The following is a 13,145-nucleotide window of genomic DNA, read 5'->3' as shown; positions in this document are numbered from 1 at the left end:
AGGTGCGTACCACCATGCCTGGCTAATTTTTGTATTTTTCATAGAGACGGGGTTTCACCATGCTGGCCAGGCTGGTCTCGAACTCCTGACCTGAGGTGATCCACCTGCCTCGGCCTCCCAAAGTGCTGGGATTACAACTGTGAGTCACCACACCTGGCTGGGTTAAGAATTTTGGAGTGGGAATATTATCCTAGATTATGCAGGTTGGCCTGATATAATCATAGGGATCCTTAGTAAGAGGAGGTCAGACGATCAGACTGGATATAGATGTGACAAAAAGAAGCAAGTGGCTACAGTGACGTCAGGAAGGGATCCTGACCCCAGGAATGTAGGCTGCCTTCAGAAGCTGGAAAAAGTAAGGGAATTTGATTTTCCTAGAGCCTCCAGAAGGAACCAGCCCTGCCAACACCGTGATTTTAGCCCTCTAAGACTCATTTTGGACTTCTGGTATCCAGAACTGTAAGAGAATAAATTTGTGTTATTTAATCCACCAGGTTTGTGGATTAAATTTGTTACTAGCATGATGGCCAAGCTAGGAACATAAGGTTGGTTTAAAACTTAAACATCTGTCAATGTAACTAAGTAATGTCATTAACAATACAAAGGAGAAAAGCAATACAACTATCTAAATAGGTTCAAAGTAAGCCTTTAACAAAATTCAATACCTATCCATGATAAAACTCTCTGCAAACTAAGAATAGCAGGAAACTTCCTTAACCTGATAAAGAGCATCTACAAAAACCAAGAAAACCACCATATAGTCAACATCACATTTCACAATTAATGACTGAATATTTTCTGTGATTTGGGAAAAGGAAAGGATGTCCTCTCTGATGACTTTTATATAACACTGTACTAGAAGACCTAGCCAGTGTAATAAGACAAGAAAGAATACAGGGCATACAGATTGGAATGAAAAAGTAAAATGGTCTTTATTCGCAGATACAGGATCATGTAGGTAGCAAATCCTAAGCAATCTACAATACTTAAGAGAACTAAGTGAGTTTAGCAGGTCCCAGGATATAAAATCAATTATATTTCTATATAGTTGCAATGAGTAATGAGAAATTGGAATTAAAATTATTGCTTATGGTAGCACTAAAAGTAGTATTTAGGGATCATTCTGACAAAGATTTGTGCAAGACCTAAATGCTGGAAAGTTTAATACAGTAGGAAGTTCAATCACAATATGTGTTTTTTTAATCCTGCCTAGGTCTTAGGTTATTTCTTCAATATGAAGGCTCATGACATAAACATACTGGAAAATTTTCAGATATGTTTTTTATATGCTTCTCCTCCTATTCTTTTATTTTCCTTGTCCTGGAGTTCTTGACTTTCTGCATCCCTCTTAATCTTTGGTTTTCTTCCTTCTTATCTGTTGTTTCTGCATTCTCTGAAATTTTCTCAGATCTGACTTTTACGAAAACAATTCCATTGAATCTACTCTTTATCCTGTTTAAATATCCTTGTTGCATCCACAAGTACTTGGAGGATTGTTCACTTAGGTGTAAATTTTGAGTGAGAACTCATCTCTCATATTCAGGGTAACTGTTTGTGGTGGTGTATTTGTTTATATGGAGCCCTAGGGCTTTCAACTGTCCTGGACTAGTATTTATGCTAATTCATCTGTTTCGGGTTCCTATACTACACAAGTAGTTTAATTTCAGACGCCATGAGTGGGTTATCTGTTCTTCGTAGTGACTTGTTCCACCCCAAAACCCCAAGCTTACAGTTTTGTTTCTCCATGATAGTAGGAAAAGACAGTTTCTGTATAGTTGGAGCTTTGAGTTTTCTCATCATTTTTTGGAACTTGGAGATTTTCTATTTTTCACTCTTTAACTTTACATTGTAAAGTTAACTCTTCAGCTTACATTGTATTTTGTTTTATTTTATTTTATGTTATGTTATTTTATGTTATGTTGTGTTATTTTTATTTTATGTTATGTTTGTTATTTTGTTTTATGTTATTTTATGTTATGTTATTTTGTTATTTTATTTTATGTTATGTTATTTTATTTTATGTTATTTTGTTATTTTATGTTATGTTATGTTATTTTATTTTATTTTATTTTATTTTGTGTTATTTTATTTTATTTATTTGAGATGGAGTCTTGCTCTGTCGCCCAGGCTGGAGTGGAATGGCACAATCTCAGCTCACTGCAACCTACGCCTTCTGGGTTCAAGCGATTCTCCTGCCTCAGCCTCCGGAGTAGCTGGGATTACAGGTGTCCACCACCATGCCTGGCTAATTTTTGTATTTTTAGTAGAGACAGGGTTTCACCATGTTGGCCAGGTTGGTCTCCAACTGCTGACCTCATGATCCAACCGCCTCGGCCTCCCAAAGTGCTGGAATTACAGGCGTGAGCCACTGTGCCCGGCCACATTTTATTTTATTTTATTGATTGATTGACTGAGACGGAGTCTCTGTCGCCTAGGCTGGAGTGCAGTGGCACAATCTCAGCTCACTGCAATCTCCACTTCCCAGGTTCAAGCGATTCTCCTGCCTCAGCCTCCCGAGTATTTGGGATTACAGGCGTCCACCACCATGCCTGGCTAATTTTTATATTTTTAGTAGAGACGGGGTTTCACCATGTTGGCTAGGCTGGTCTCGAGCTCCTGACCTCAGATGGTACACTTGCCTCTGCCTCTCAAAGTGCTGGGATTACAGGCATAGCCACAGTGCCTGGCCTTAGCTTATATTTTAAATGTTCTGTTCTAACTTTTCCATGTAGTTTTGGTGAGGAAAAAGGGCTGCCTTTGAGCATTATGTTCATGTTTTGGAATGTTACTTTTATTTTTGTTTGTTTAGATCAGTTATAAAGTTAGTTTGACTTGTTTATTTTCAACATAATTTTCTTTTTTTTCTATAGAGATTATCTTTCTGTGACTTTTTTTTTTTTCCTGGATTGTTGGTTCTTGTTTCCTTTCAGAATTGTGATAGTTCAATAATTAAGAGAGTTTTGATGAAATATATTTGTTTATACAGGTAACAAAAGTGTTTCATTTTCAAAACTGTGAATTTATCTTTGAATGACTTGAGGAAAAATTTGAGTATATGTAAATTCTTATTTTGTAAAGATACACCATCCCAGAGAGTTCAGTTTATCCTTGGTACTGAAGATGATGATGAAGAACATATTCCCCATGATCTCTTCACGGAAATGGATGAACTGTGTTACAGAGATGGAGAAGAATATGAATGGAAAGAAACTGCTAGGTAATACTGCTAAGTCTCTCTCTCTTTTTTTTTTTTGAGATGGAGTTTTGCTCTTGTTGCCCAGGCTGGAGTGCGATGGTGCGATCTGGGCTCACTGCAACTTCTGCCTCCCAGGTTCAAGTGATTTTCCTGTCTCAGCCTCCCGAGTAGCTGACATTGCAGGCGCCCGCCACCACGCCTGGCTAATTTTTGTATTTTTAGTAGAGATGGGGTTTCACCAAGTTGGCGAGGCTGGTCTCGAACTCCTGACCTCAGGTTATCCTCCCGTCTAGGCCTCCCATAGTGTTAGGATTACAGGCGTTAGCCACCGTTCCCGGCCTAAGTCTCATTTTTAAATTGGCATTACTTGATTTCTTTTTGTAATGGGAATATTAAGTTGAAAGTATGAGATATCTGGTGCTTTAAACCAGTGAGCAGAGAATTTCCTTATTAATTGATAGAAATTCTATCTTTAATTTTTCTCTTTATTCTCAAATTTGTTTACTTAAATAATCCTTTATACTTTCATAAAGAAATTATGTCATTATAGATTTTAATGTCTACAATTTTGTGTATTGCAAGTTTAGAAGAGGAATAGAAGTAGAAACTATATGAAATTCCATAGTTTGTTTTTGTAGGCTTATTATTATGATACCTAGAATAGAAAGAGGAACTACAAAGGAAATTTGTGACTATAGATATTGTAGACCATTAACCTAATTTGTGAAAACGTGTTTGGTCGTGGTTTTCTTTATTTCTTTTTTTTTTTTCTTTAAAGAACAAATGTTTCTTTATCACATTAAGATAAACAAATGGAATCTTCATTACTTATAAAATATTTTTATACATTATGCATTCAGATGGCTGAAATTTGAAGAGGATGTTGAAGATGGCGGTGACCGATGGAGTAAACCTTATGTGGCAACTCTCTCTTTGCACAGTCTTTTTGAACTAAGGAGTTGCATCCTCAATGGAACAGTCATGCTGGATATGAGAGCAAGCACTCTAGATGAAATAGCAGGTTATAGTAAACTGACTTTTAAAAAATATGTAAGGTGTAGTGGAATTTTAGACATTCATTTAACAACTATATGCTGAGCTTCTATTCTGTGGAGTGCAGTATAAGGAAATAAGATAGAATTTTTGTCTTTGATAAATTTGCAGATGAGATTAAATTAAACCGACATAAGTGTAGTATCAGTAAGAGAGTGAATAGTGGCACAAGCGAATACAGAGTCTGTTCTGTGGAAATTCAGAAAAGAGTTTTTTGTTTCCTTGTTTTTTGGAATGGGGATGTGGGGAATAGCCACAGAGAACATTAATTGTACAAGTTACTCATAAAATGTGAACACATGGGAACCAAGGAGTAGGTGATACAAGAGAAAAAGTATTTTAAGGAAGAGTAAAGAAAAGTCTAGAGAAGTATAGACAGGAATCTCAGGAAAGTCAGTTCTGTGTGAATATACAGATTTCTTCAGTAGTGTTAGGAGGTATGTTGGGAAACCCAGTTAGAGATGAGATTGTGACTAGCCTTGAATTATTGGATTTTTTTTTTAAGGGGGGGATCACAGGGTCTCTCACTGTCATCCAGGCTGGATGGAGTGCAGTGGCACGATCTTGGCTTACTGCAGTCTCCGTCTCCTGGGCTCAAGTGATCTCCCACCTCAACCTACTGAGTAGCTGGGACCACAGGTGTATACACCACCACGCCTGGCTAATTTTTGAATTTTTTGTAGAGACGGGTTTTCGCCATGTAGCCCATGCTGTTCTTGAACTCCTGAACTCAAACAACCTGCCCACTTTGGCTTGCCAGAGTTTTGGGTTTACAGGTGTGAGCCACGGTGCCTAGCCAAGAAATAGGATTTTATTTGGTAGGCATTTTGGTGGTCTTGATGGTTTTTAAGTTGAGGAATAGTGTGATATGAGATACACATTCAGGAAGATCATTCTGGCAACAGAATGTAGGGTGGCTTTGGATTAGGAAGAGTTTAGAAGCAAGTAGGCCAGTTATTGGCTAGGAACAGTCTAAGCAAAGAAAGAGCTCTGGTAGGTTGAGCAATGAAAATGAAAGGGGGAGATTTGAAGGATAATGTGGAGGTAGAAAGTAGAAAAAGGCAGCTGTAATCAGCTTTTTGTCCACTAACTAAAATTAATAAAAACCAAAATTAACTTTGGTAGTAATGAATTTGATGGTGGGACTACCATTGTAGATTGCTCCCATGGAAAAACAAAAAATCTGTAGTATTTAATCTTCAAGAGAACCATGAACTTAATACAATTTCTCAGGCTAGAAATACTTCAATTTTAGCCTACTGTTAGATTTAACTGTGTGCTGCAAATATTTGAATTGTCCTTACTTTCTTGTCTCACATGAATAACTGAAAAATTAAGGTTGGGAATATTGAATTTGTATAATACATATGGGTTTCAGACTTTGGTTTGCAATTATCACATAATACCATGTAGTACTTTTAGTATATGTTGTATAATCTAGTGTTCATTTGTTTGCTAAACTGTAGCTGTTGTGTTAAGGTTAACAGTTTACCTATTAGGCTGGTCCTTCCAGGGTTTTTTTTAGAGTAACCATGTAGTTTTGAAAATTTGACCCTCTTCTTCCAAGTTAGTACCACTATTTAAAACTATTAATATATATTTTATAAATTAAAAAGTTTAATCACCTCAGTAATGTATAAAATGGCATTGCCATCAGTTTCCCCATTCCCCACATCCCTTTCACAACCTGATTTTACTCCTCTTCCTAGAACTTATGACCTCATGACGTTTTATCTGTTTGTATGTTGGTTTCTCTACCTCTCGAAGAGAGCAGAAACTTGGCTCTGTTTTGTTATTTTTAAATTGCTGTATTCCCAACACACAGCGGACGCTCAGTGAATAGTTAATGACTGAGTGGGTCCTGATATTCATCTGCTGGAACAGTTTTGGGGGAGAATATGAGGTTTGGCAATAAAATACCTTTACATCTTAGGAAGCCAGTATTATTGAATATTCAGCTTAATAGAATTTATTGTATTCATACAGGGAAGCACTTTCAGCTATAGGAAGGCTATTAGTATATAATAGTAGCCTCTTTATAAATAATAGTATTTATTAAAATAAGGCGGTCTTTGTAATTCATTTTTATTGGTTGGATAATGTTCATTTCTGCATTGATTATTTGTGACAGAATAAAACTTTCTAGAGCTATTTAAGGTTCTAATTTTTGTCATAAGGTTTCACTCACAGTTTATTCCTATATTATGGTCATCTGAGTGTTTAGTAATTTATTTTTTTTTTCATTGAATAGATATGGTATTAGACAACATGATAGCTTCTGGCCAATTAGACGAGTCCATACGAGAGAATGTCAGAGAAGCTCTTCTGAAGAGACATCATCATCAGAATGAGAAAAGATTCACCAGTCGGATTCCTCTTGTTCGATCTTTTGCAGATATAGGCAAGAAACATTCTGACCCTCACTTGCTTGAAAGGAATGGTGAGATAAGTTGTGGCATCCAATTTTTGCTAACACTTCTACTGTAACAGCTTTCCAGTATGTTACGATTAACATTTGGGGATATTTAAACACTCACTATACCTACCTCTGAATTACTTCTCCTTCCTGCTTTGTTTCTTTTCAAGGCCTCTTGTATAATTAATTAAAGAGGCATAAATTATGATCTATAATTTTTAATATTACCTTTTTGAAATTCTAAATCTTGGGTTTGAACCTTTATTTTAGATTTTTCCTAATTTTTTTTTTCTCCTGAACATACTTGATTTGCTGGTATAAACAAGTGTTTTTGGATTGGTTTGCTGATTTCACGGCTCTTTATTTGTACAACTTGTGAAAGGCTTTTATGACTGTTCCAGTCTTACACTAAGGGTGACCTAGTTGGTGTCTTCTAATCCATTGAGAATGGCTCAGACCCAGGTCTACATATTCCACCTTTCTACTCTCATTCTTAGGTTACAGGCAGGTTGTGTGGCATGTGGGAAGACAGTGTTTTTGCAGTCGTTTACCTCTGTTGGTGTCCTAATGCTGGACACTTGGAGGTTTTGCCTTTCTTTATTCTTCTGTGTAAAGCAGAGGAATGCATCAGTAGGGTTGAGAACTCTGACAGTGAGTCTGGAAAACCCGGGTGCAAAGGATCAGAGTGGCTTATGGAGAGTCACTGTAGCCTCCAGTAGTTGCTGTAAGCTGCTACTATTACCCAAAGCTCGTGAGGATTACAGTGAGGACTAGTGGAGTATGGGGCACAGTGCCTGCTCATCTTTTTTACCCCTGAAATAATAGTATGACTTTTAAGTGTTCTACCAACAAGCAAGCATAGGTGATAGGGTCTAGTTTTTCTAAAGTTGAAAATAATCATCTTTTTTATCTTCCACTTGGCCATGAAAACCCTTTTTAATCCATTTAAAATTATGCCATGTTGTATTTAAGCAATCTTAAGAGTAAAAGAATACCTCTTATGGACCAAAATGCAATGTAAAAACAAGCCAATGTATAGCGCATTTTAACTCTCTTTTTTGTCTTTTATTTGTTGTTTATATTCTCTCCTTTGGTGAAATAAGTTCATTTATCCAGAGGGACCCTATTCAGTCTTTACTCTTCGTATGCAGTTGTTCCTCACTATTGTCCAATTGTAATTTGCTCATCAGAAGACATTGACTGTTTTCTTTTAAATGCCATTTTAGCATGTTCTTTTGTTGAAATATAGTTATAATTTGAGTTTTTCCTGCATGTAGCTTATTGTTTAAATGGTGTTTCCTAATGGATTATAGTTTAACTATTTCTGAAACCTCTTGAGCATGTAACTTTGATTAGGCCATATGGAATTGAATATTGTATTTGCATGTTTTTCATAAAGAATGTTATTCTTTTAAGATACACTTAGTACAAATATGAGGGGTTTAATTAAAAGTATGCATGACCTTTTGAAATATTTTAGACCTACTGCTATATTGCTGTTGTTGGTGAGAAGTACTTTATTCTTAGCTAGTGAAATAAAAAATTATATGTATTTGTTTTAATGTATCTGCTACATATCAGAAATGAAAAGCATACTTTAGGACATTTATTAATATTTTTAGAGAGCTCAAGAATATGTATCCTTTAAAATTGACATTGTGTTTCTCTTTTTAAAAAATTTCTGTTATTTGTCTTTTTTTAAAACTTCAGAGCAGCACCACCTGTAGATGGTGTCTTACTGACTTAATATTGTAAATATTTAATACCAGTTTTAAGTTAGAAATTATTACTTAATGTTAACATGAACTTTTTCTCTAAGAGATAATTGTCTGTAGCTGTTTGGTAAAATGTAGGAAAAATACGCTAAATATAAGCTATTAGTTTTGGTTATTTTTGGTTTGAGTTATATTAATTGTGTATTACATATTTTCATTTGCTATTTATTGTTTAAGCAGTGACTTTGTATTGATATTGTCCTTTTTAAAAATGCCATGCTATTGGTCATTCTAATTTCTAACAGGATATTGCCCCCACCATCTGTCATTAACAATTTTTTTTTATGTGTTCTGAGAACTAATTACAGTTTTAACCAACTTTTTAGTGACTTTCTAACATGTAAAAACCCGATTGACATGCTAACCATCACATGACTTTGAAATTTTGGGCCTTTGAAGTATGCAATTTATAGTGTAAATTGATTTTTTTTTAAATGTCTCTATTTGCCTTCTGCAGTGGACTTCATCATTTTTCATTTATTTGTTTTATCTCAGGGGAAGGCCTTTCAGCCTCCCGCCACTCTTTGCGAACAGGTCTGTCTGCCTCAAACCTTTCCTTGAGAGGAGAATCACCTTTATCTCTTCTTCTTGGTCATCTTCTTCCTTCTTCAAGAGCTGGAACCCCTGCAGGCTCAAGGTGTACAACCCCAGTACCCACCCCTCAAAACAGTCCTCCTTCTAGCCCTAGCATCAGCCGCCTGACCTCCAGAAGTTCCCAAGAGAGTCAGCGTCAGGCCCCAGAACTACTGGTTTCACCTGCCAGTGATGATATTCCCACAGTAGTAATTCATCCGCCTGAGGAAGACTTAGAAGCAGCGCTGAAAGGCGAGGAGCAGAAGAATGAGGAAAATGTTGACTTAACTCCAGGCAACTATCCAAAATCCTCCATGTGTGGTGCTTTCTGCCTCTGAGTCACTTGCACTTGGAATGCCTTTTAGCACATAGCTTAAGCAGCATATGTAGATAATGCTTATAATTTATTTTGACTTCTGCATGTTTTTTTTTCTTTATGATAGATTGTGTTAGGTTGGTGCAAAAGTAATTGCGGTTTTCGCCGTTGAAAGTTTGCTTTACTTTCAATGGCAAAAATTACTTTCAGTGGCAAGAACTCAATTGCTTTTACACCAACCTAATAAAAAAGAGTAAGATTATTAAAAATTTGAGTTACAAAAAGACTACAAAGAAGACTACACATAATTTAAGCCCTTTTAAAAAGTTTCACTTAGATTTAAAGGTCAAGACATTTGAACACTTCAGTAAAACATAGTCATTTTTTATAATGTTTTAATTTGCCATGAACTTATTTTATATTTATTTATGTATTTATTTTTATTAGACCGAGTCTCACTCTGTTGCCCAGGCTGGAGTGCAGTGGTGTGATCTCAGCTCACTGCAGCCTCTGCTCCCTGGGTTCAAGTGATTCTCATGGCCTCAGCCTCCTGAGTAGCTGGGACTACAGGACTGAGCCACCACGTCTGGCTAATTTTTTGTATTTTTTTGTGGAGACATGTTTTCACCATGCTGGCCAGGCTGGGTGAACTTTTTTTTTTTTTTTTTTTGGAGACGGGGTCTTGCTTTGGAGGCTGGCATGATCTCAGCTCACTGTAACCTCCACCTCCTGGACTCAAGCAATCCTCCTGCCTCAGCTTCCCAGTTAACTGGGACTCAGGGGCGTGTCACCATGCCTGGTTAATTTTCGTGTTTTGTAGAGACCAGGTCTCACCATGTTGCCCAGGCTGGTCTTGAACTCCTGGGCTTAAGTGATCCACCCACCTTGGCCTACCAGAGTGCTGAGATTACAGGTGTGGGCCATTGATTGCGTCTTGCCTTGGTAGCTTGGTTTTGTGTGTGTGTGTGTGTGTGCATGCAGTTCACTCATAAGGTGAATGAACACATACAAATAAATTATAGTGAAGTGATGTGCCTTAAATAGGGATAGAGTCATACTCTGTCACCCAGGCTGGAGTGCAGTGCCACAATCATAGCTCACTGCAGTGCCACAATCATAGCTCACTGCAGCCTTGAACTCCTGGGATCAAGCAATCCTCCTGACTCAGCATTCTGAGTAGCTGAGACTACAGGCACATGCCACAACATCTGGCTAAGTTTTTTGTAGAGACGGTATCTTGCTGTGTTGCCCAGGCTGGTCTTGAACTCCTGGCCTCAAGCAATCCTCCTGCCGTAGCCTCCCAAAATGCTGGGATTATAGGTGTGAGTCACCAGGCCCAGCCATACCTTTTTTTCTATTTAATGCTTTTCTCCAAAGAATGTAGTACATTTTAGGCTTTTTTTTTTTGCTTGGGCGGGTGGGGTGGAGAGACAGGTTCTTACTCTGTTGCCTAGACTGGAGCGCAGTGGCGCCATCTTGGTTCACTGCAGCCTCGCCTCCTGGGTTCAAGTGATTCTCCTGCCTCAGCCTCCTGAGTAGCTGGGATTACGGCGCGTGCCACTACCACCCAGATAATTTTTGTATTTTTAGTAGAGACGGGGTTTCACCATGTTGGCCAGGCTAGTCTTGAACTCCTGACCTCAAATGATCCACCCACCTTGGCCTCCCAAAGTGCTGGGATTACAGGCATGAGCCACCATGCCCAGCCACATTTTAGTCTTTTAAATAAAGATAGGATCAAGTGTTCTTTTTCTCATTTTGCCTTTGAGAAGATTGAAGTTCTCTAATGACTGACTGCCTGGAATCATATACAGACTCGGATTTATGTTTTGGAATAGATTTTAGTTGTCCATTGTTTCATGCTGTTATTTATCTTTAATCCAAATTTACCTTGAAATTTTCAGGACCAGAGTTCCTGTAGTTAGGGAAAAAAAAATTGTATGTGCAAAATTAGCAAAAAATTATTATTTTTTAGTGGAGAAAAGGTTTATAACTCTTTTTTTTTTGTGGAGATGGAGAGTCTCGCTTTGTCGCCAGGCTGGAGTGCAGTGGTGTGATCTCGGCTTACTGCAACCTCCGCCTCCCGGGTTCAAGTGATTCTCCTGCCTCAGCCTGCCAAGTAGCTGGGACTACAGGCATGCACCACCACGCCTGGCTAATTTTTGTATTTTTAGTAGCAACGGGGTTTCACCATGTTGGCCAGGATGGTCTCGATCTCTTGACCTCGTGATCTGCCTGCCTGGGCCTCCCAAAGTGCTGGGATTACAGGTGTGAGCCACCATGCCCAGCCTATAACTCATCTTAAGGGCTATAAAGTATGAAAATTTGGTTTATCCTTATGTTGACTACATGTACATTTGTACATATATCTTTTTGCCTAATATAAAATAAATATATTTTAGTAACTTTTCTTTTTAATTATTTCAGCTAAGCCTCAATGTGATGGATACTAATGCTAACCATTGGTTTTAATCACATAAGTATTATCACATTTCTCCAAAATACAACATCCAGCACTTCAGTGGGTAGCTTGGTTATTAGCCTATTTAATGTGTATACAAATATGGGTAAGTTAGATGGACACACCCATTTTCAGAAACTTAGAAAAGTTAGTCATCTTCCCCTGCATCATACAACTAGTAACTGATGGCCTAAATCCTCTGACTGGAAATCCTTGTGTTCCTATCATTATGAAGTAAACCTCTCTTTCTATTGGCTTTATGGAAACACACCAGTTACATTTAGCCAAAGCTCATTGTAGTTGCAAAAAAGGATATACTTTTGGAAGTACAAATAGAAGCTTCATGGCTAAATCATTATGACATTAGTTATAATAGTAGTATGGCTGCCATTGTTTTATAGTTTGTTCCAGAGACAGCGATAAGTGCTTTTCAAATACCATATTTCTAATTCTTGTAACGATTTGATGAGGTTGGTGTTATTCCTGTTTTTCAGTGAAAAAAGACTTGGAGATGTTAAGATCAACCAGAGCAGGGATTTGAACTCAGGTCCACTTACAACAAAATCTATACTAGAGTATTTCATTGTGAACTTTATCAGTTCGTGAAAAAGATAAAGCTTAATGATGAAGTAACTGAACATAAAAGAGGAAAACAACCCTAAAAATAATTATTCAGAAGTAATCAGCATTCTAATCTTAAGAACTAACAAGATTTACTATTTTTCCTTGAACAAAAGTGATTTTAAAAGCTACTTCCTTCCATTTTTTCCAATATTACATTGATCAGTAACAATGAACATGTCTTGTTTTACCAGCTTCTATGTTATAAATAATTAGGAACTATAAATTTTATATAGGAAAGAAGGGGGAGATGGGTTCACATTGGCTTCTTAGGCCGTGTTAAGGAGATAAATTAACTGAGAATCCAACATACATTTTTTCCCATGAGTTTTTGTGATGAGATTTATCGGCCTTTTTGAACAGAAGAAATTAGAGTGGAGAGGAGAGAGGGAATTTCTAAAGACAAGAATTACAGTTAAAAAGACGACTGTAGATAGTATGTAACTGCTGAGGAAAAATAGGGACAGCTATACATGATTCTCTGTTCAATTACTTTCGGTGCTTAAAGCATCTAGAAACTCTAATGGAGTTTCCTTGATGCCTGGTACTGTCTTAGTGGAAGAAAGTGGCCTCAGCATCATTATGTCTCAAGCGACTAACACCATGGATTTTTGTGTCATAGAGTCATAATTTGTGCATACCTATAATAAAAAAGTGGTATTTCCCATTAGTTACTTTTTAGAAGATAATTATATGTATAAAAGTTATATGTATAAAATTATAAATTGTATAAA

The 13,145-nt window shown here is 37.1% G+C and overlaps 1 protein-coding gene across 27 annotated transcripts in view; it reads left to right on the top strand.

Moving 5' to 3' along the window:
• Positions 1-13,145, top strand: part of SLC4A7 (solute carrier family 4 member 7) — a 111,662-nt gene that overhangs the window by 43,780 nt on the left and 54,737 nt on the right. For 9 of the 27 annotated variants that reach the window (NR_135543.2, NR_135542.2, NM_001321107.2 and 6 more), the window contains exons 4-6: positions 3,079-3,217; positions 4,057-4,217; positions 6,501-6,689. Coding sequence is in view for 21 of the 27 variants with exons in the window: in NM_001321107.2 (NP_001308036.1) it covers positions 3,079-3,217; positions 4,057-4,217; positions 6,501-6,689 (489 nt within the window). In the remaining 6 variants the exon portion in view is untranslated. Of the gene's footprint in view, positions 1-3,078; positions 3,218-4,056; positions 4,218-6,500; positions 6,690-8,935; positions 9,308-13,145 lie in introns of those variants that run through there. The other 18 variants (NR_135541.2, NR_135544.2, NM_001321106.2 and 15 more) reach the window with 5 other exon arrangements.

The sequence above is a fragment of the Homo sapiens genome, chromosome 3 (genome assembly GCF_000001405.40).
Source record: "Homo sapiens chromosome 3, GRCh38.p14 Primary Assembly".
Taxonomy (NCBI): domain Eukaryota; kingdom Metazoa; phylum Chordata; class Mammalia; order Primates; family Hominidae; genus Homo; species Homo sapiens.
This window is presented reverse-complemented; position numbering and strand designations above follow the sequence as displayed.